The sequence below is a fragment of the Homo sapiens genome, chromosome 7 (genome assembly GCF_000001405.40).
Source record: "Homo sapiens chromosome 7, GRCh38.p14 Primary Assembly".
In the NCBI taxonomy this organism is placed as follows: domain Eukaryota; kingdom Metazoa; phylum Chordata; class Mammalia; order Primates; family Hominidae; genus Homo; species Homo sapiens.
The window spans coordinates 77793171-77817177 of NC_000007.14; the positions used below are offsets into that span (position 1 = coordinate 77793171).

At 39.4% G+C, this 24007-nt stretch overlaps 2 protein-coding genes across 20 annotated transcripts in view, besides 2 other annotated features; one reads left to right on the top strand and one right to left on the bottom strand.

Moving 5' to 3' along the window:
- Nucleotides 1-557: 557 nt before the first annotated feature.
- Nucleotides 558-5264, bottom strand: TMEM60 (transmembrane protein 60). The gene is made up of 2 exons (NM_032936.4): nucleotides 5084-5264; nucleotides 558-1253 (listed from the first exon to the last, which is right to left on the bottom strand). Exon 2 carries the CDS (start codon nucleotides 1201-1203, stop codon nucleotides 802-804), a length of 402 nt encoding a protein of 133 aa, NP_116325.1. The 5' UTR covers nucleotides 1204-1253; nucleotides 5084-5264; the 3' UTR covers nucleotides 558-801.
- Nucleotides 5024-5133: an enhancer, noted in NCBI's record as "active region_26208". NCBI's record gives its function as "activates an Ori minimal core promoter by ATAC-STARR-seq in GM12878 lymphoblastoid cells {active_cell/tissue: GM12878}" and the evidence as "EXISTENCE:reporter gene assay evidence [ECO:0000049][PMID:35858748]".
- Nucleotides 5544-5683: a silencer, noted in NCBI's record as "silent region_18330". NCBI's record gives its function as "represses an Ori minimal core promoter by ATAC-STARR-seq in GM12878 lymphoblastoid cells {active_cell/tissue: GM12878}" and the evidence as "EXISTENCE:reporter gene assay evidence [ECO:0000049][PMID:35858748]".
- Nucleotides 5603-24007, top strand: part of PHTF2 (putative homeodomain transcription factor 2) — a 158732-nt gene continuing 140327 nt past the window's right edge. For 14 of the 19 annotated variants that reach the window (XM_011516422.4, XM_011516423.4, NM_001127358.2 and 11 more), the window contains exon 1: nucleotides 5603-5801. The gene's annotated coding sequence lies outside the window, so the exon portion shown is untranslated. Of the gene's footprint in view, nucleotides 5914-24007 lie in introns of all 19 variants that reach the window. The other 5 variants (XM_005250509.5, NM_001366086.1, NM_001366087.1 and 2 more) reach the window with 1 other exon arrangement.

The following is a 24007-nucleotide window of genomic DNA, read 5'->3' on the forward strand; positions in this document are numbered from 1 at the left end:
ATAGTGAATTTAGCCTAGATAAAAATCTGTCAAACTCAGATTCTTTCTAAATGTAAATACGAAGTGGCATCCCTGTTTCAGGTTTTTTTTCCTTCATAATTTAGAAACACAAATGGCCATTTACTTTGGTCATAATACAGCCATGGTATATTAAACTTCTATTAAAAAATGTAGGTTTTGTTTTGTTTTTGAGACGGAGTCTAGTCCTATTGCCCAGGCTGGAGTGCAGTGGTGTGATTTTGGCTCACTGCAACCTCCACCTCCCGGGTTCAAGTGATTCTCCTGTCTCAGCCTCTCAAGTAGCTGGGATTACAGGCGCCCGCTACCATGCCTGGCTAATTTTTGTACTTTTAGTAGAGACAGGGTTTCACCATGTTGGCCAGGCTGGTCCTGAACTCCTGACCTCAAGTGATCCACCCGCCTCAGCCTCCCAAAGTGCTGGGATAACAGGTGTGAGCCACCTCGCCTGGCCCAAACATGTAGGTTAAAGGTTTTATATTTAGTTACTTTAGATATTGACCACATACAACAGATTATTCAAGAGTCATGTAGAAAAATGAGGTCCAAAACAAACTTTATTTACATAGAGATAATAAGGATCTCAATAACTCAAATGCTGAATAATTAAGCTGTAGGTTGACTAGAAGTCCGTGATTCACCAATCCTGTTTTATGGAAGTAGTATAAAACTACATTTGGTATTTTCCCTCAGTTCTCTGGTATTCTTGAAGCTTGACAGATTCAGAACACTTTAATGGTAACTTGTTGAACAGCAATAGAAAGGAGATGATGTACTTAGAAGTCAGTCTCTCACAAAAAAGACATTATATCCGAGTTCTGTTAAAGCCCCAGCCAGCAAGGCCCATAAAGGAATGAAGACATAGGATAGATTCATGGTAGTAAACTGTTCCAGTTTAGCACAGAGTGCGAGGCAGAAGGCTAATTTAAGTAACATTGCAATGAGGTACCAGGCTTTTTTTTTAATATTGTGTGATCCATGTCGAGGGTCAAAGCCAGACTTACACCGCCCAGCCATTTTCACAATCAGCAGGACAAGAAGGATAGTATCAAATATCCAGACTGGAATGAATATGAGGAACCAGTTCCAAGGTGCTTTCTCATCCAGTTTCAACACCAACATGATCAAGAAGAGTAGTGTGAAAAGCCAGGTGAGTAGTACTCTCTGAGCCAAGGACATTCTCATTTAAACAGTTTAAAGAGGCTGTTGCAGGATCGGAAAAAAGGAAATATACCCTAAGAGAAGGAGAAAAAGTCAAGATTGTTTTGATACCAGAAAAAAAGTATCACTTCCATTCCTAATGAACAAAACTGGTTCTTTCCCAACTGACTTCCTAATTTTGAAAACATTCTACTATTCTTCCTTTCAAATCCTCTAAAACTTAGTGATCATTGACATTATATCCACCATTCCTTACAGCCCATGACAAAATACAATTTTTATTATATCTACTGTATAAGCTCTATTCAAAATGTCAGGTGATTCCTTTTCAGTGCTATCACTCGAGTCCAGGCACTTACAACTTTATTCCTGCACCTCAAAGATGTTCTTAATCTTCCTATACATTTGCAAATCTAATTTTTAATTCAATTTCAAGGGGTACAAAGAAAAAAGCATTCAAAGTAGTGAAAAAGTGAAAGGTGGGTATCAAGCTGAGAAGAGAGAGAGTTTTAAAAGAAGGGAATGGGAAGGGTGCGTGGCTCATGCCAGTAATCCCAGTATTTGGGGAGGAGAAGGCAGGCATATCATTTGAGCCCAAGAGCTCCAGACCAGCCAGGGCAAGAGTGAAACCCTGCCTCTACAAAAAATAAAAAAATTGGCAAGGCGTGGTGGTATGCACCTTGTAGTCGCAGCTACTGAGAGGCTAAAGTGGGAGGATTGCTTGAGTCCAGGAGGTCGAGGCCGCAGTGAGTGCCCCGTGAGATCATGCCACTACACTCCAGCCTGGGCAAAAGAGTGAGATGCTGTCTCAATCAGTCAATCCATCAATAAAAGGAGGGAATGGTTAATAAAAATCACAAGAATATAAAGTAGAATTAATATTTTAGTGGCTGGGTGCAGTGGCTCACACCCACAGTCCCAACACTTTGGGACTCTAAGGCAGGTGCATCTCTTGAGCCCAGGAGTTCAAGACTAGTCTGGGCAACATGGCGAAACCCCGTCTCTACTAAAAATACAAAAAATTTAGGTGCAGTAGCACGTGCCTGTATTCCCTGCTACTCGCGAGGCTGAAGTGGGAGAATCACCTGAACCCGGGAAGTTGAGGCTGCAGTGAGCCGTTGCACACTGCACTCCAACCTGGGCGATGGGAGTGAGACCACTGTCTAAAAAAAAAAGATTGTAAAGAGGTTGTTGGGCTATATAATATAAAAGGCACTGATAACACTGGATTTTCATATAATTTGAAACATATTCTTAAATTCTCACTTATTTTCTCATAAAAATTCTTACAAATATCTTTCTTGGTATAATAGTTTTTTTCCTTTTAACAATAGTCTCACTGATTGGTGGTGTATATATGTATTTTTTTAAGCTACTTGTTATCCATTCAATAATCAGGACCACCTAATAAACTTTTGATGTTTTGTGATTATTAGATGCTAAATTTTGGGGGCTATTTCTTATATCACTATTCTGCCTCATTGATCTATATGTTTCTCTTTTGCACTAATACTATATGACTTAGTGTTGCTCTAGGAATGTATTAATATCTGGAAGGCCTAGTATCTACTCGTTGTTCTCTTTTCTAGAATTTTTTTTTTTTTTGAGACGGAGTCTCACTCTTGTCACTCAGGTTGGAGTGCAGTGGCACGATCTCAGGTCACTGCAGCCTCTGCCTCTCGGGTTCAAGTGATCCTCCCACTTAAGTTTCCCAAGTAGCTGGGATTACAAGTGTGCGCCACCACGCCCAGCTAGTTTTTGTATTTTTAGTAGAGATGGGGTTTCACCATGTTGGCCAGGCTGATCTCGAACTCCTGACCTCAAGTGATCCACCCACCTCAGCCTCCCAAAGTGTTGGGATTACAGGTTTGAGCCACCACGCCGGCCTCTTTTCTAGAATATTTTCTATTTTGCCCTTACAGTTTTTCAATGCTAAATTTGCTGATTCTTGAAAACCTAGAATTTTGATTATGAATGCATAAAACTTAGCTTGGGATAGCATTTATTATATTTAATCTTCACATATAGGTTTATGATATGTTCCTCTACTTAAGTTTTTTATACCAACCTTTATGGCCACTTGGAAAAAGGATAAGTAGAATGGGAAATCAGAAGCCAGACTGCATGCAGCTGGGTAAGGAGTTAACAGAAGACCAAGAAATGGAAACAATTGAGAACATTTTATTCCTTTGAGGCATTTGGAGAAGAGAAAAATGAAAGATAGGGTATATGAAACTGAAAGAAGAAATTTTCAGGAAAGGAAGAATTTATGACTATAAACAGAAATAAGCCAATGGGGAATGACACTGAAGATGAGAGAGGATACTTGATGGAAAGAGAAAAAGATCAGAAGGTGCTAGGGATAGGAACAAAAGCATGCGTGGTAGGAGGAAAGATGCAGGAAGATAACAGGGAAAAGGTGAAGGAACTGGCTAATTGAGCCAAATACCCTAGATTAGCGTGCTCAATTATATTTTAGAACTAACTTTGATGTACTGTGCAACATCTCTACTACTTTAAATAGTGGGTGGCTATCACAGTGCAAGAGGACACATCTGTTCTATTTCAACAGTTAAGTATTAGTCTCCTAACTCACCTCTTTTCCCTTATACCCATCTAGTGGCACTTAAACTTGTTTACTTAATTGGCAAAGGCTTCATACTGCAGTAATTTTGCTTCTAAGGAGGCATTTTTCTGTGTTGGTTTCCTTTCCCGGCCAGAGGCTGCCATAGAGTGGGATGTGGGACTGAATTTGGAAGCAGGGTTGGAGGGGTGTGTGTTGATTAATAACCATGGATGGATTTCATCCCGTAAATTGCACAATCCCCACCTCCAATCTATCAGGCCGTTTTTGTGAACCTCTGAAAAACGGTTTATGATTATACACTTGCTTAAACCTAACTGTTCCATCTGCTATCGGATAAGACAAGCTTCATTTTTTTCTTACATTTGGCTGTACTTACCACAGGTGCTTTAGGGCTGGAGGTGAAAGGATGCAAGTAACAATCTTATTGTGCCTACAAGATTTATAATGTGGGATGCAACAAAATTCTGTTATGTTCTTGCACGGAAATACCCTCAATGGGGAAGCACTGCTGATACTTAAATGACGATTGAAGGATTGTACGCCTGTATGCTGAGCTACAACGATGACATACGATCCCAGTTTTACATTTACGTCTTCATCAATTTGAGCAGTCGTTATGTTTCCTACTATTCTCTCCACAAGAAAGGGGGAGGTGCGTACTCCAAAAATGTGCTCAACTAAAATGTTTCCCATTTAAGGTGGTTATTTCTGGCACTAGGAAGACAGTTAAATATTTGTTAATGATTCCTTACTCATTTTTAAAACCTTCGGAGTTACCCCTGTATGGACATATATAGAGCCCCACCCACATAGCCCACGGCTGGGTATCAGCCCCCATTTCCCTTCTCTCGCCACTGCCAGTAGTCTACCAAGTGAACCTGCCTCATCCCAAAGATAATTTTGCTTCATGAGCCCACATATTTATTCTTCTTCATAATGAGTCGCTTTTGAAAAGCCCGTGCAGCAACAGCCTTGGCCAAAGGAACAGCGTTCTGCTTACAACTTAGCTCATCTGGGGGCCTATTTGCCCCTGGAACTTCAGGACGCTCCTAAACTATACTTGCCCTTCTGCAAACACCGACAGTCGGCTCGCGGCGCCCCACCGGGACGCTCCCCTTTCATGGGCTGTAAGCCCAGCACATGCTGGAGTTTAACACGGTTCCTGCTGGATGCGCACAGAAGCCCTGGAGCCAAGCAGGCGTGTGCGCGTTTGGGGCTGGCTGTGTGATGGGTTGAGGGTCGGCCGCACAGCCCACGGAAGCATCAGGAGACCAGCGCCGGCGTACGGTGCGGGCTAGGGCAGAGCCCCAGACTCACCTGGCAGCGCTGCCGGCCGGAAAGCGGAGAGGGACGCGAAGATCAGCAAATTCGCCAGTTTGGATCCTTGTCCTTTTCCGCCCTTTTCCCCCCATTAAATCCAGAACCCGTCACATGATAATTAAGAAAAAACTTCAGTTCCGCCTCCTCAAACGACTGCGGTAGAGGATCTCTCAGTTCTACCTCAGTGCCGCGCCCACATCCGGGGCTGGTTCTCACCGCCCCTGAGCCTACCCTATAGGTAGAGAGGACGCCAATCTGGATTCAGAGGTCCCTTTTCCGCGGTAATTGGACCATTTGTCCGCCAGTGCAAACCAACCGACCTTTCCTTACTTTCGGGTTCGACAGAAAGGCGGCAATAAAAAGACCCATTGGTCCCGCCTCTCTACTGTCACGGGTTAGTAGGGAAGTCAGTCCAAGATCAGCCTGGAGTTTCCGTGCTCCCATTGGGCCCACAGATGTTAATCAGAGCAGCCGGCGCTCAGCTCCGCCCTCTCGGGACGCCCCGCCCCTCCTCCCATCCTCCCTGCCCGCGCGCAGTGACTGCAGGCTCCGGCGCAAAATCCTGCGGGAGAGGGGGTGGGGCAACCCTCTGGAGGCAGCGCGCCCGCGGGCAGCCTCGTTGTGGCTCCTTGGGCTCTGTTGGCGGCGGCGCTAGCTTCGGAGTCTCCCGCGCGCACCTCAGCCGCCTCCTAGCGGCGCGGCGCTCGCTCCTACGGTAAGAGCGGCATCACCTCCGCGCTCGGGTGGGCAGTGTGGAGGTCGTCGAGTTCTGACAGAATTTCGAGGATGGATCGGGACGAGGGAGGAGAGCGGTCGTCGGGATGGAGGTGGGGGCTCCGGGGCCAACGCGTCGCCCTCCGTCGCCGGCGACTTTCCCGGCAGTCTCCCGTACCTGAGGGCCGGGGTCAGCCGCGACCCCTTCTCATCAGTCGGCCGGTGGCGGAGGCTCAGCCGCCTTCCTCCCGAGCTCGCGCGGTCCTCAAGTCTTGATGGTGACGGGCCGAAGCCCAGCGCGCCACCCGCCCCTCGGGCCCCGCTTCCAGGCCCCTGTCCTTTGCTTCCTTCCCTTGGCGCTGTGCTGAGGGGTCGTCGGGTCCTGGAAGGGCGTTCAGGGGTCTCGGGTGGCTAGCCCGGCTGGCGGGGAGATGTCAGCTAGCGGCCGGAGGAGCGGGCTCGGGAGGGGGCGGCGGCTCGCGCGCTGGAGGAGGTGGAAGGAGGGTCGCTGCCCTGCCCCCTCTGAGCAGGCGGCAGTCGAGTTTTCTGATCCCAACACGGCGGAGTGGGTGCTTAAGGCATGGGCCTTAAGGGATAGTTCCCGTCTGGAAACAATACCGTGCTCCATCAGCATGCTTCAGCTTTTCTTATTTTTATCTGCCCAGTGTTGACAGCCAGCATTCTGGTATTGTCCTTCGAGTCATGGCTTTCTAACTCAGCACCTCCTTGTGTAACTTCAGGGATCATTCTGTCACTAATCTGTCACCCTTCTTATTTTTAGCGTGGCGAAAACAAGGAACTGCCTTATACTAACCTGGGCAGTGCAGAATCTGGAACAATTTATTAATCTCAGTGTGTACTTTACATGCCAAGTAATTTTGAAATTCATGGTGAATATTAAATATTTTGTAGTTTTCGGTTGCTTTCTTTGTTAATAGTATATCCTCCTTGCTTTGAGACTACTTTTCAGGTGTGATACTTTAATCTTAAGGTTTTTGGTTAGCTTTTGCCATTTTTAAACGTTTCTTTCATTTTTTTTTTCTCCAAGACTTTGGCAAGAGACTTAGTATTTGATCTTGTTTTCAGGTATTTTTGTAAAGTTTATTTTCTTTCAAACTGGGCTTTTTTCACCATATTTTTAATATTGGAAGGGGAATTCTGAAAGTCTGGAAACTGCACACTTTAGCCTAAAGAGTCACAAAACAGTATAACAATTTGAAATCCTAACTTGGATATGGTGTATGGACTGCAAATTTTAAGAGAAGGAAATGGATATGCGTTATCAGTTGTAGTGGCTCCACCTCCATAACGTAGAGGAGAGGAATCTGGAGGTCTGCGGAGAATGAGCCATGTCTGGGGCCAGAAACAGTGGTTCCAGGAAATATTTTTGCCCCAGAAATAGCCTGCCTCCCACACAGACTGGCTGTCTGAATGCATCTGATAGTTTTAAGTTAGGTGTTAGTGAGGTGGAGAGTTTTCGTGTTCCAATTTTGACCACTTTCTGGTGGAGCATGAAAATGTGGTGAGTAAACAAGTATAGTATACAATGGGGGCACTCTTGCATAGATAGTCAAGCCTCCAAGAGTAAACTTTTTTTGAGCCCAAACTGGCACTGGACAGTTGGCCCTAAAAATGAAGAAGGTGGCCCACCCAATTTTTAAACCATGAACTTTTTTTGGCTGGTCCATTTAATGCAAAATTGCAAGGAATATGTAATGAAAAAAACCTTCACTAAACTGAAGAGAATTTAGGGTGTCATGTGGATAAAATGAAACTCGAAAATAGTTGGACTACTTGTATATTATTTAATCATTTTAGTCCTGTGAGATGGGTACTGATTACTGTCATTTTATAGATGAGCAAACCAAGACTTAGTTTAACTAATTTGTTCAAGATTTCTTCACAAATGAGTCAGTAGAGGTGAGATTCACACCTAAGCAGTCTGATTCCAAAGCCTACATTCCAAGCCATTATACTTTATTACCACAATAAAATTGGCTTCTTGGAGACTTTATAGTAGGAGACTACTCAGTGGAAAATAACACTGCAAAACCGTAAATTGAATCCACTATTGTACACAGTAACACTTTGAGATCATTGTATAATAGGCACTGTTGGATTTTGCTGAAGATAAAGGGATGGAGTCACCTTCTCTGTGTTTGAGGAGCATTCATTTGATGGGAGAAATAGATATTTGAACAAATGACGATAATACAATATATACAGATTGAGCATCTGTAAACTGAAAATCTGAAATGCTCTAAAATCTGGAACCTTTTGAGTGCCAAGATGATGCCACAAGACACTTGACTTCATGTGACAGGTTACAGTCAAGCTGGGTGCGGTGGCTCACGCCCGTAATCCCAGCACTTTGGGAGGCCAAGGCGGGTGGATCACCTGAGGTCAGGAGTTCAAGACCAGCCTGACCAATATGAAACCCCGTCTCTACTAAAAATACAAAAAAAATTAGCCGGGCGTGGTGGTATGCACCTGTAGTCCCAGCTACTCGGGAGGCTGATACAGGAGAATCGCTTGAACCCAGGAGGTGGAGGTTGCAGTGAGCCGAGATCGCACCACTGCACTTGGCCTGGGTGACAGAGCAAGACACCGTCTCAAAAACAAAAACAAAACAAAACAAAAAAACAGTCAAAACTTAGCTTCATGCACAGAATTATTTTAAAATGTTATATAAAATTACCTTTGGGCTATTTGTATAAGGTGTAAATGAAACATAAATGAATTTTGTGTTTAGACTTGAGTCCCATCTCTAAGATATCTCTTTATGTATATGCAAATATTACAAAATCCAAAATCCAAAATGCTTGTGGTCCCAATAATTCTTGAGACAAGAATTCAGTTAAAGTATAGACAGTCTGGATTTGAATTCCTATCAGGCTTTGTGACTTTGAACATAACACCAAACCTCTTTTAGCATCAGTTTCCTTATCTGTTTAATGGAAAGGGCAATACTTCAAAGAAGACATTAAGCCTTAAATAAAATATATAAAGTACGGGCACATAGAAAGCAGTGAATACAAAAGAAACAATAAATAATTTTAAGAGAGAACTAGTTGGGTTTCAGGGGAGCTACCACTGAAGCCTTAAAGGTCTGAAGGTGGTGTTTGTAGGTGGAGAAAGAGGGCATTCCATGCAGAACAGGAAGAGGCAGAGTCTCAGAACAGAAATATGGATTGTTTAGGGAATGGTAAGTAATTGTAGCTTTGTATAAAATGTATGTGTGAAGGCCAGCTTTAAATGATAATGGTATGTAAATGTGGTTGGGCAAAGTGAGTACTACCCAATTTTGATAATTGGAAATTGCATACTTAGATACTAAAATTATAGGAAAACCTCAGCAGTTTGTCCATTATTACATGTTTATTTAATATTCACCTTCCAATACTTACTTTCCCAGTTCAAATTAAGACTCAAAGAAGAATTCCAAAATGATGGTTGCCATCCCTTAACCCCTTTACCTAGCCTGTAGCCACATGGAGTCATTATTGTGAACTCCCCTTTGCATATATTTTGACTGTCTTTTCTTAATCCCTACTTGATACATGATAGTGGGACAGAGTTTTTTTATTTTGAGACAGGGTCTCATTCTGTCTTCCAGGTTGGAGTACAGTAGTGTAATTACTGTAACCTTGAACTCCCAGGCTCAGGCAATCCTGTTGCCTTAGCCTCCTGAGTAGCTAGACCTGCAGGCATGCACCACTGTGTCCAGCTAATGTTTTAATTTTTATTTTTTTGTACATACAGGGTCTTGCTATGTTGGCCAGGCTAGAGACCTCAAGTGATTTTCCCATCTTGGCCTACCAAAGTCCTGGGATTACAGATATAAGCCACCACTCCTGGCCAGTGTGTTTTAAATTGGGACTGCCCTTGAAAATCTGAGAAAGTCTCGTGCTTCTATCTTCTTCTCAGATTAATACCAAACCATAAATACGTTAAATTTACAAATCTGAAACATCACTTGATGACCAGAATCATATGACTAAGTGGAAAATATTAAGTGACATTTAGGAAAACTGCATTTTTAGTCCACTTTGTTATTCTCATGAAAATTGCTAATGTGACACAAAATATAGAAGTGAGTTTTCAGATGAGAACAACTGATTGCTTCCTGGAACAGGTAGTTTTAGAGCACTAGGAATGAAAATATGCTGGATTTTATTCTGGGTACTGAACAGGAACTGGGGCAGGAAATAGCTGTGGCTGAACCACTACCTGATAATAATCATAACATGATTAAATTTGACATTTAATGAGAGGAAGTAAAGGGAAAAGTGCATAGTATGCAGCTTTCCAGTTGCAAAAACAGTACAAGAAAGGGGCTGTTAAAAGTATATCTACAGAAATTTTAAAGACATGTAGGCATTCATATTTGTTGCATGAATGAAAGTACTTTTGTAAGACCTTTTGTATAGGATTTGTTACAGATACCAGAAAATTTATGAAAATTAGGTGGCACAAGTTTTGGTGCTCTGTAGACCTAGGTTCAAGTCCTGATACTGCCATCACTGGTTGTGTGACATTGGACTCATTATGTAATATTTTTGAGGTTCAGTTTTATTTATTCTTTAAATGGAGTTACCTACTTTGCGAGATTTTAAGAATTAAATGAGATAATGTATGTAAAGCACTTGACATATTCTTGATTTCTAAGACTAGCTCAAAAAGTGGTTGTTGCAGTTATTTGACTGAGTTGAACAGGCGTGTGTGTGTGTGTGTGTGTGTGTGTGTGTGTGTGTGTAGGTTTTAAAATAACAATTTCCAGATAGAATAAGAGAAGCCAGAAAATGGCAAACAAGCAAATAAAACCTTAAAGGGAGGCAATAGGATTCAACCGGCAGAGTTGAATAATCATTTTACCCACACAAAAGAAGGGAAAATATAGGAAGAGAGCTTCACATTATCAACTTTTTTCTGAAGAAAGTACATCAAACTCATTAAACCAGATGGAATGCATAAATAAGGTTTTGCTATTGGAAATGACAATGAAAAAAATAAATGAAGTAGGATTTCAGTGCTGTGAATTAAGTGTATAGGGAGAGGAACTTGTTTTCTCAAATCTCTTGACTACTTTCTTACTTATTTCTAAAATTCTTTGACAAGGAAAAGCTATTAATTGTATAGTTATGGGAATGCTTTAATGGCAAGTAATCCTGGGGGATAGAGCAAGCTGATTTATCTACACAGATTTCTTGTGTGTTCATTCCATATATCCCATTGTCTATTGTGTGTCTTTTGGGTGCTGAATGTATGAATATATCATTTGTTGAAAAATAAACCTATCTTCTTGTTCCTAAATCTATTTTACTCTTGTAGTCTCTGTCTTAATGAGGGGTTTTTTGTTTGTTTGTTTGTTTGATACGGAGTTTTGCTCTTGTTGCCCAGGCGGGAGTGCAGTGGTGCGATCTTGGCTCATTGCAACCTCCTTCTCCTGGGTTTAAGCAATTCTCCTGCCTCAGCCTTGCGAGTAGCTGGGATTACAGGTGCCTGTCACCGTGCCCGGCTAATTTTTGTATTTTTAGTAGAGATGAGGTTTCACCTTGTTGGCCAGGCTGGTCTTGAACTCCTGACCTCAGGTGATCCACCCACCTTGGCCTCCCAAACTGCTGGGATTACAGGCGTGAGCCACTATGCCCAACCTTAATGAGGGTTCTTTTAGTGTTCAAGCCAAGAGTCATGTGGTGTCCTTACTCTGTTCCTCTCCATATCTTTAATTGCCATTCAATCACTTCATCTGGTCCTCTATCTACTAATATCTATCTTTCAATCATGCCTCGTCCCAACACCCACAATTAAGAAAAAACAAAACAACCATTGGCACTTAGTTCAAACCCTCATTATTGTCCCCAAATTATTGTCATTTATTTCCTTTTAATTTAGCCTTATACGAATCAGTTCTTCCCACAGCTTCCTTCAGAATAATTTTGTTGAAATACCAACATACTGATATCAAAATTATATCCTCAGTGTCTGCACATGATAATTAATAAATATTTGATCCTTCCATGTATCTTAAACTTCAGACAATACTAAGTGACTTGCACATGTAGGCTTGGTAGGCTCTAGTTTTTCTTTGTGGGGAGGATTTTAACTGCAAATTCAATTTCTTTAGTAGATAAAGACTTAACTCAGTTTATTTCTTCTTGAATTAGCATTGATAGTTTGTATTTTCCTAGGAATCTGTTCGTTTAATGTAAAGTTGTTAAATTCATTGGCATAAAGTTACTCATGACATTTTCTTATTAATCTTTTTAATATCTGTAAGACATATAGTGCTGTCCTCTCTCTCTTTCTGACTCTGATGTCTTTTCTCTTTTCTCTCCTATTCTCCTGGCTAGAGGTTTATTGATCTATTTTATTGATCCTCTCAAAGAACCAGTTTTTCGTTTTCTATGTTGATTTTCTATCCTCAATTTGACTGGTTTCTATTCGTCTTTATTATTTTTGTTTCTACTGTTTATTTTGCATTTTATTTGCTCTTGATTTGCTAGAATCTTAAGTTGGAAGCTTAGCTCATAATTTGAAACATTTATTCTTCTGGAAAATGAGTGTTTAATTCTATAAAATTCTCCCCAAAATAGTGTTTTGACTACATCTCACGAATTTTGATATGTTTTCATTTTCATTGAAGTTCAGAATCCTTGATAAATTCCTTTGTGATTTCTTTGACTCCACTGGTTATTTAGAAGTATGTAGATGAGTTTCCAAATATTTGGGGATTTTTCAGATATTTTTTCCTTAGTTCTAACTTGATTTCGCTCTGGTCAAAGAACATACATTGTGTATTTTGAATCATTTTTAATTTATTGAGACTTGTTTTATGGCCCAGATTATGGTCTGCTTTGGCAAATGATTCATTCACACTTGAAAAGAATATTGGATGGAATAATTTATAAATGTCAAACAAGGTTGGGTGGAGTGGCTTACGCCTGTAATCCCAGCACTTTGGGAGGCCGAGGCAGGCGGGTCATTTGAGATCAGGAGTTCGAGACCAGCCTGGCCAACATGTTGAAACCTCGTCTCTACTAAAAATACAAAAAGTGGCAGAGCATGGTGGTGCGTGCCTGTAGTCCTAGCTACTCAGGAGCCTGAGGCAGAAGAATCCTTTGAACCTGGGAGGGGAGGTGGAGGTTGCAGTGAGATCGCACCATTGCACTCTAGCCTGGGTGACTCCATCTCAAAAAAAAAAAAAAGTCAAGTCAAGTTGGTTGATAGAATTGTTCTTCTATATATCCTTGTTGATTTTGTCTACTCGTTTTATCAATTTTTGAAAAAATGGTATTGAATCTCTATAAATGTGGACTTGCTGATTTCTCCTTGCGATTCTTTAAATTTTTGCATTATGTATTTTGAAGTTCTATTGCTAGGTGCATGCATATTTATGATTGTTATAATTACTTGGTCAATTGGATCCCTTTATCATTGTGAAATGGACCTCTTTAATCCTAGTAATATGTTTTGCTCTGAAATCTACTTTGTATAGCCATTCAGACTTTCTTTTCATTAGTGTTAACATGATATTTTTTTCCATCTTTTTACTTTCTACCTTTTTATGTTTATATTTAAGTGAGTTTCTGACAGATACACGTAAAAATAGGTCTTGCTTTTGGGTCTTGGGTCTTGCTTTTTAATATCCAGTTTCCTAATCTCTGCCTTTTAATTTAGACCATTTATATTTAATGTGATTATTGATATTATTGGGTTTAAGTCTATCGTCTTGCTATTTGTTTTTTGTTTCATCTGTTCTTTTTACCTTTTTTGGATTCTTTGAGTATTTTTATGACTTTATAACCTTTTTTGACTTGCCTATAGCTCTTTTTTCTTGTAGTTTTGTTTGTAGTAGCTAGTATACATCATCACAGTCTACTTTTGAGTAAAAAAACTACTTCATATATTTTATGAGAACCTTTTAACAGTATACTCTGTTTCCCCTTTCTGAAACTTTGTGCTGTTATTTGTGCTGTATATTATAAATCCCAAACAATATTGTTGATCTTTTGGCTTTAGTCAGTTCTCTTTTAAAGAGATTTAAACACACATACACACACATACATTTTATATACATATAATTTTTTAAAGACTCTTAGATTTGCCCCTTTTAAGGTTGAATAATATCCTGTCATATGTATGTACTGTTTTGTTCATCCATTGATGGACATTTGGGCTGCTTCCACCTCTTGCACATTGTGAATAGTGCTGCTATGAATATGAGTGTGTAAATATCTCTTTGAGACTCTGCTTTCAATTGTTTTGGATATATACACAGAAATGTGATTGTTGAATCTTATGATAGTTCTATTTTTAATCTTTTTGTACCATTTTACAGTTGCACCAACAGTGCACAAAGGCTCCAGTTGTTCCACATCTTCATCAATATTTATTTTCTGTTTTTTTTTTATGATAGCCATCCTAATGGATGTAAGGTGATATCTTGTGGTTTTGATTTGTACTTTTCTGATAATTAGTGATGTTGAGCATCTTTTTGTGTGCTAGTTGGCCATTTGTATATCATCTTTGGGCACATGCCCATTCAAATCCTTTGCCCATTTTAAAATCAGGTTATTTGATTTTTTGTTACTGAGTTGTAGGAGTCATCTATATATTCTGAATATCAACCCCTTACCAGATTTCTGATTTGCAAATATTTTCTCTCATTCTGCAGGGGAGAAAAATATATGCCTTTTGTGTCTTTTGATGAACAAAAGGTTTTAAGTTTGATGTAGTCCCATTTGTCTATGTTTGCTTTTGTTGCCTATACTTTTGGTGTTACAGCCAAGAAATAATTGCCAAGTCAGATGTTATGAAGCTTTCTCCTGTGTTTTCTTCTAGGACTTTTTTAGTTTTATTTCTTATGTTTAGGTATTTAATCCATTTTGAGTTAAGTTTTGTAGAGGGTGTAAGATAAAGGTCCACCTTCATTTTTTGTTGTATCCCATTTTCCCAGTACCATTTTTTGAAGAGATTGTTCTTTTCCTGTTGAGTGGTCTTGGTACCCTTGTTGAAGATTATTTGACCACATATATGAGGGTTTATTTCTAGGGTCTTTATTACATTTGTTGATTTATCTTTATACCAATATCACACTGTTATGATTACTGCTTTGTAATATGTTTTGAAATCAGGAAGTGTGAGTCCTCCAAATTTGTTGTTCTTTTTAAAAATTGCTTTGGCTATTTGGGGTCCCTTAAGATTCAATATATATTTTAGTATGAGTTTTTCTATTTCTGCCAAAAATGCTCTTGGGATTTTGATAGGGATTGCATTGAATCTGTAGATTGCTTTGGGTAGTATGGAAATTTTAACAATATTAAGTTTTTCAATCCATGAACATGGGATTTCTTTTTGGGTCTTTAATTTCTTTTAGCAGTGTTTTTAATAATAGATGTTTCAATGTGCTTGTTTACAAGTCCTGTCATCTTTGTCATTTGTGGGTCTGATTCTGTCTCCTCATCATGAATTATATTTTCCTGTTTATTTATATGCCTGCTAATTTTTGTTTGAATGCCAGACATTTTGTATTTTATGTTGTTTGAAGCTGTAATTGGTCTTCCTGCTCCTTTTGGTGATTCTTTCCCTTGCTTCAGGTAGTTTTTCCTACATTGCATATGCCAATCAATATTCAACTGAAGACTTAAGGGGAATCCTCTACAGAGCTACAGCACTCTCTTTGTGCAGCTCTCTCCTCTTTGGATACTTTGCTCTAGTAATTCTAGCCACCTTGGTATCTCAATACTCAAATCTGGCTTCTCAGTGTAGGGGTACTTCTGGTCTTTGGTTTTCCCCTTCTAGCACTGCATCCTGGAAACTTTGCAGACAGCACACTTGGACAATCATAGGGCTCACTTTTTGTTTCCACTCTTTCGGGGATGTGCTATCAGTTACCCAATATCTGAAAATGTTTCACTTTTTTTTCTAACTTTTTAGTTTTTAAATGGAGAGGAATAATCTGGTTCTCATTACTCCCATCATGTCTAGAAGTGGGAACTCTTGTATATTGAGTTTTGAAGTAATAATTTAAATGGAAAATATAAAAAGTACCATTTTGATTTTTATTATTTTTAAATCCCAAATTTGTGTTTAGGGTGCATAAGCATTGTATAGCCAGAACCAGAGTAGACTATAGGTTTGATTGGCTGAATGTGTTTAGGTTCATTGTTCCCTTGAAAGAAATGTAGGCATGTATGATGAGTTAAAAGGTAAGCAAATAATTGCATTTTCCTATATAAACCCAGTTCGTTGTTTTTTTTTTTTTTTTTTTTGAGATGGAGTCTCTCTTTGTCACCCAGGCTGGAGTACAGTGGAGCGATCTTGGCTCACTGCAACCTCCGCCTCCCGGCTTCAAATGATTCTCCTGCCTCAGCCTCCCAAATAGCTGGGATTACAGGAACCTGCCAACATGCCTGGGTAATTTTTGTATTTTTAGTAGAGATGGGGTTTCACCATGTTGACCAGGCTCGTCACGAATTCCTGAGTTTAGGTGATCCACCCACCTCAGCCTCCCGAAGTGCTGGGATTATAGGCATGAGCCACTGGGCTCAGCCATAAACCCAATTCTTATTGACAACAAAACTTTGTGTGTGTGTGTGTGCGCAAAATATGTCTGTATAATTTCTAAGGGAGATTAATAGATTAATGAGAAGTGTTTATTTCCTTAAGGGTATAATAATTCAGTTTTTATCGTCTTTGGAAAATATTTGCAACATTGACTGAAAATACTACTATGATCATATATTGAATGGTAATTTAACTTAACCTTGGACATAGTAGATATTAAGGACTGTTGAAAATCTCTGTAGGTGAAATGGACTTGAGATGGGCTTAACCTGTCTCTTCATTGATGATAGGCAACTGGAATGACCTTTAGCTTTTCTTCTGATGGAAGCAGATTATATGAATTGGTAAAATTGAAGCACCGGGCTAGTTTTCTTATTCCCACCCATTGCAACCACACTAAATGAAATTATGAGAGGAAGGTTGTATGTGTATTAAGTCAATAGTTGGTATATAGGAAATTAACGTGATAAAGGAGGTATTTTAAAATTGAGTTAAGCTTATCATTTATGTTCTTTTTATTTTGATGTAATTTTAGATTTTAAAAAAGTACAATAATAAGGAATTCCTGTATACCCTTCACCCAGATTACCTGTATTTTAACATTTCACTATATTTGCTTTATCATTTTCTTTCTCGATATATATATAGGTACATATGTATTACTTTTTTCTTGACTCATTTGAGTCATGATACTCCTTTACCGCTACTGAGTTTTTATTTCCTAAATATAAGATTATTCTTCTTCATAAAGACAGCACAATTATCAAAATCAGGAAATTAACATTTATAGTACTGTTTTCTAATCTACAGGTACTCACATTTTACCAGTTACCACAATACTGTACTTTATTGCAGAAGAAAATTCAGGATCACATTCTGTGTTTAGTTGTCACATCTCTCTAGTTTCTTTTACACAGAAACACTTGAACCTATGTTTTATTTCATGAAATTGACATTTTAAAAACTGTTGAGGCTGGTTATTTTGTAGAGTGACCTCCCATTTTTTTTCTTTTTTTGAGACGAAGTCTTGCTCTGTCGTCCAGGCTGGAGTGCAGTGGCACAATCTTGGCTCACTGCAACTTCCACCTCCCTGGTTCAAGTGATTCTCCTGCCTCAGCCTCCCAGGTAGTTGGGACTACAGGCACGTACCACTGCACCTGGCTAATATTTGTATTTTTAGTAGAGATGGGGTTTTGCCATATTAGCCAGGCTGGTCTCAAACTCCTGACCTCAGGTGATCCACCCACCTTGGCCTCCCAAAGTTCTGGGATTAAAGGCATGAGCCACCCCACCCAGCTGAATGACCTTCAATTTGAGATTGGTTGATTTTTTCCTCATAATTAGATTTGGGTTATGTAATTTATTTTTATTTTTTATTTTTGGGATAGAGTTTTGCTCCTGTGGCCCAGGCTGGAATGCAATGGCGCCAGCTTGGCTCACTGCAACCTCCGCCTCCTAGGTTCAGGCGATTCTCCTGCCTCAGCCTCCCAAGTAGCTGGGACCAGACTCCCACCACCATGCCCAGCTAATTTTTGTATTTTTAGTAGATACAGGGTTTCACCATGTTGGCCAGGCTGGTCTCAAACTCCTGACCTCAAGTGATCCACCTGCCTCAGCCTCCCAAAGTGTTGGGATTACAGGCGTGAGCCACTGCACCTGGCCCTGGGTTACGTACTTTAGGCAGGAATACCACAGACATGATGTTGTGTACTTTCCAGTGCATTATATGAGGAGGCAAATACTGTTATTTCTCCTGTTACTGGTGATGATAACTTTTATAATTTAGTTAAGGAGGTATCTGCCAGGTTTCTACAAGGTAAAGTCACTCTTTTATTCTCTGTAATTAATACATACTGTGGCTAGATACTTTTAAATTATGTTAGTATCCTACTACTCTCAAACTTACCCATTAATTTTAACATCTATTGATGATTCTTGTGTGAATCCATTATTAAGATGGGTGCCAAATGGTGATTTTTATAATTTTGTAATTTCTTTTATATTTATTAGCTGACTTCTGTGATAAAGAAAAGCTTCTACCTCTTTATTCACTTACTTATTCATATCAGTATGGACTCATGAATTCTTGTTTTATCATTTTGCCAATGTCTCTATGATTCTTTGAGCATTTTCTTACTTTCTGATCCAACAAGATATTCCATAATCATCTGGTACTATCTCTGTGCCAGCCCTAGCATAAGACATTTCTCTAAGCAGTGTTGATTTCTTTTACTATGAAGTGGTATTTAGAGATCTAGGTGTTAGATGTGCTTATTGCTACTGAGGAGTCTTTGTTTCTAGGCCCTCTCAGTGGACGTAAAGTATATATGTATACGGATGAGTATATATGTGGTGGGTGTGTGTAATACAGCTTTATTTTCAGAAAGAATATTAACTAGTGTCATGGCTGCTAAAAATAAAAAAGTGAATATAGGCATAGGCTACATGACCATGTGATCATATCCTTATCACAAGAAATTATAGCTCCAATGTTTTGCATTCTTCAAATACATTATTTTGTTGACTAACTGGATTCCAGGAATTACTTAGATCTTATCTGATGAGAAAAAGAACCTGGATGGTGAGGGGCCTGGAAATCATGTTATATGAAGAACAGGTGAAGGAGCTGAGAACATTTAGTCTGGAAAAAGATTAATGACAACATATGCTGATTATATTAAGTTGTTTGAGGCAGAAGAAATGACACACATTTATTCTGTGTTCACTTAGAGTATGTAATTAATACAGATGAATGTATTTGAAGAGAGATATAAATTTAACTCTGCATAAGGATAATTTTGAGGCAAGTTTTCCTCTAATGCAGTAAAATGACTTGAATACCTCAAACCCAATTATTATCTCTAATCAGGAGAAGCTTGCTTATTTTTACATAATTTGTGTGTACTGTAAGAAGTTAGAACTACTTGAGAGATGTCTAAGTATGCTATATTTAGTGGCTTAGTCAGTAGTATGCTTCACAAGATGAATCACAAGGAAAGGATTCTGTTCTAAATAAATGTAAGAAATAATGTGTACATAATCTTCTTTTTTTACTTTTTTTTTTTTTTGAGACAGAGCCTCGCTCTGTCACCCAGGCTGGAGTGCAGTGGCACAATCTTGGCTCACTGCAAGCTCCACCTCCCAGGTTCACACCATTCTCCTGCCTCAGCCTCCCAAGTAGCTGGGACTACAGGCGCACGCCACCACGCCCAGCTGATTTTTTGTGTTTTTAGTAGAGATGGGGTTTCACTGTGTTAGCCAGGATGGTCTCGATCTCCTGACCTCGTGATTTGCCCACCTTGGCCTCCCAAAGTGCTGGGATTACAGGTGTGAGCCACAGCACCCAGCCAATAATGTGTACATAATCTTCTATTGGATATTTATAATGCAGAGTAACGTGTTAAAAGGCTCTAACAAGTCCTCAAGTAAGGAAACTTGTTTGACTTTTTCTAATGTAGTGGATATAGGAACAGGTGAGGTTATAGGTATAATCTAATAGTAGTCATACAGTAGTCATCTATAGATGCATGGTATTTATTTATTTATTTAATTTTAAACCAGGCCTTCAAGCATTTTATCCTTTGAGTTACAATCCAATTACACTGATTTATACATGGTATTTAAACCAAGATATTAGATGTGATCACCAAGGGACTGTGTGAAGATAAGAGATGTGCAAAAACTGAGCTCAGGGAGAAGAGGAAAACTAGCAAAGAAACTGAGAAGGAGTGAATAAAGAGGAACAAACTGAAGAGAGTGGTTTCCCAGAAGCTAAGTGAATAAAGTGTTCCAGGAGAAGAGAACATAATCAGCTGTGCTTTATACTACCCGTAGATTGTATAAGATAAGCAACTGAGACCTGACCATTGCATTTAGCGACTGGAAGTCACTGGTGTCCTCAAAGAGAACTTTCAGTGGAGTATTGTGAGCAAAAGATGATTGGATTAAAGAGAGGAGATGGAGAAGTGGGAGTAGATAGCAGTGTTTTGCACTGTGAAAGGGAGAAGAGAAAGGTACTGTATTTAATGAGCACCTTGGGAGAAGAGAAAGGCATTGTATTTATTCAGCACCTTCTGTGTGTTATATTGCTGAAAATATTTAAGCAATAATGAAATGTATGAGCTATACATAGCTTACTTAGCTCATCATTCTGGCTTAAATAGTAGTTGCAGTATGTTTATTAAGTACTTTTCTCTGTGATGTGGAGTTGAATAGACTACAGATTGAAACATTGGTTTCCTGACTTACAGAAAATTTCTTCAGATTAAAAGAATGTTAGAGGTAGTGGCTGTTAAATTGTATTGCATTCTCCAGTTTCTAGGTGGTTTAGACCAGTTGGCTTAGTAGTTTTATCAATCATGAATTGATGATCTGGACATGTTGATAATGATGTTACATAAAATCGTAAGATTTGGTGTCCAGTCATATGTTCCTCATTTTTAAAATGACCTGGTATCAAGAATAATATTTAAAGCCACATACCCTAATTTTAAATTGGCCTCTGTAACCATAGGAGGAGAAAACTCAGGAAACACAATTCAGTCCTCATTTCTACTTCATTAACTTTCCATCTACCTTCTTGTAGCTAATTGCAAGCCCAGGCTGTAAATCCAATTACAGCAAATTCTCATTGTTCACAGCTGTGTTAATATAAGGTCGCTGCTAACACTGAATTAGCCAATAGTGAAGTGTTGCTCTTAGAGGAAATACAGAGTTGAGTTCCTGTGAGCCACTGGTCACAACATTTTTGTCATCAGTGATCAATACATAACCTTGTTTCATATGTGTTTCTATTTAAAGACACCTTATTTAATTTTATTGTTTATTTTGTTAACATTGAACTCACAACCAACAGCACTATAATTCATGTCTGAATGAAACTTACCTAACACAGTATTTTCTCTGTAAGACACATTAAATCGTTCTTGCACTTAGGAGCACTAGGCCGCACTTCAGCACTACACTTGGGGGGCATTTTTTTTTTTTTTTTTGAGACAGAGTCTTACTCTGTCGCCAGGCTGGAGTGCAGTGGCGCAATCTCAGCTCATTGCAACTTCTAACTCCCTGGTTCAAGCGATTCTTCTGCCTCAGCCTCCCAAGTAGCTGGGATTACAGGCACGCGCCACCGCGCCCAGCTAATTTTTGTATTTTTAGTAGAGATGGGGTATCGCCATGTTGGCCAGAATGGTCTCAATCTCCTGACCTCGTGAGCCACCGCGCCCGGTCTGGGGGGGCATTTTTAAACAACATCTAGGCCGGGTGCGGTGGCTTAGGCCTGTAATTCCAGCACTTTGGGAGGCTGAGGCAGGTGGATTACTGGAGGTTGGAAGTTCATGACCAGCCTGGCCAACTTGGTGAAACCTTTTCTCTACTAAAAATACCAAAAAATTAGCCAGACTTGGTGGCGTGCACCTGTCATTGCAGCTGCTCAGGAGGCTGAGACAGGATGATCATTTGAATCCGGGAGGTGGAGGATGCAGTGAGCTGATATCACGCCCCTGCAGTCCAGCCTGGGCAACAGCTACACTCTGTCTCAAAAATAAAATAAAATAAAACAGCAAAATCCCAACAAAAAGAAAAAAAAAGCCAAAAACAGGACACTACACCACAAAAAGGACCCTTGTTTATGGTATAATAGCTGTCTTATTTAAGAAGATAGTGTCATCTTGTTCAGCCTTTGCTGGGAACATGCGTGTTGGGAACCTCAGATTTTTCTCTGCTTTGTGCATATCTGTAAATGACTGCAAAAGTACCAGGAGTATTGATTTTAGCAAGCAGGCAGATTTGCATACGAAATCTATGAAAGTGGCTGTCCAATATGTTAAATGGAAATGTTGGAATATATTGCATAATTCCATCATATTTATGATGGTAAGAATTCCAGTTTACTGAAGCTATAACTATTTGGAAATTGAAATTTAAAACTGGTTTCAATTTGTAGTTTTTATCAAAGTTCTGCAGATAGATGTTTTCAGAGATAGTTATACAAAATTTAGGAAAATAGCGGCCATAGAGCCCCTTTTCCACAGTTTCTGTTTCCCAGGGACAAACAGGTTCAGCTCTTTCAATTGATATTTTATTTACCATTCATAATGATACATGTTTGACTTCCAGTCATCTGCAGGGTCATAGAGAAATAGTCACTCATTGGCATGGTGTGAGAGAAAATGGATCTTTTATTTTAACAGCTTTCAACTAGTCTGCCTAAAGATGGGACTAACTTTATTCCCGTTTCCAGGGGATGCTTAAACCATGAATCCCTGAAACTTTGTTTTATTGCATAAATTGGGTTAATATTCTCCTTTCTCTACTATTGCTGTCTGCTGTCTCGGATCTGCTAGGTCAGTTACAAGTCACATATCTTCTTTCAAGCTTCATTTTTGTTGTTTTTTTCCGTTCTCTCTGTTCTCATGTATGTATGCGTTTGCTGTCATTTCAGTTAGATATTGTAAGGTAGTAAAGTTAGATGCTTGTGTTTAGTCTGGCTTTTTGTATTCTCTTGGAAATTTGGTTATTCTTTTTATATATTGGAATAACTTTTTTTTTTTCTTTGAGACAAGAGTCATGATCTGTCGCCCAGGCTGAAATGCAATGGTGCAATCTTGGCTGGCTGCAATCTCTGCCTCCTAGGTTCAAGTGATTCTCGTGCCTCAGTCTCTCAAGTAGCTGGGATTACAGGTGCGTACCACAATGCCTGGCTAATTTTTGTATTTTTAGTAGAGATGGGGTTTCACCATGTTGGCCAGGCTGGTCTCAAACTCCTGACCTCAAGTGATCTGCCTGCCTCGGCCTCCCAAAGTGCTGGGATTTCAAGAGTGAGCCACCATGCCTGACATGAAATAACTTTTAATAGTTTGCCTGTTTATAGTACATGGGTCCAGGACAGATACATGTTTCATTTTGCTCAATTCAATTACATTATTTTAAAAAACTACTTTTATTAATTGACACATAATGTACATATTTGAGGGGTACATAATGATGTTTCAGTACATGTAATGTATAGTGATCAGATCAGAGTAATTGACGTATACATTATTTCAAACATTATTTCTTGTAGCTATTTGCAACTATATATTATTGTTAACTATAGTCATCCAACAGTGGTATAGAACACTAGAACTTATTCTTCCTATCTAACTGTGATTTTGTAACCTTTCACAAATCTCTTCTGATCTCTCTCTTCCTTATGCCCCTCCCAGTCTCTGGTATCCTCCATTCTACTTTTTACTTCTATGAGATCAGCTTTTTAGCTTCTACTTATGAGTGAGAACATGCAGGGTTTAACTTTCTGTTCCTGGCTTTTTTCGCTTAACATGATGTCCTCCAGTTCCATCCATGTTGCTGCGAATGACAGGATTTGATTCTTTTTATGGCAAAACAGTATTCCACTGTCTGTAGACCCCATTTTCTTTATCCATTCATCTGTTGTTGGGCATGTAGGTTGATTCCATATCTTGACTATTGTGAATAGTGCTGCAATAAACATGGGGTACAGATGTCTCATCAATATACTGATTTTCTTTCCTTTGGATAAAATTCCCAGTGGTGGGATTGCTGGATCATATGGTAGTTCTATTAGTAGTTTTTTGAGGAATCTCCATGCTCTTCTCCATAGTAGCTGTACTAGTTTACATT

What these genes read in the sequence shown, in the direction of transcription:
- TMEM60 (NM_032936.4), bottom strand. Translation starts at nt 1,203, where the DNA reads ATGAGAATGTCCTTGGCTCAGAGAGTACTACTCACCTGGCTTTTCACA.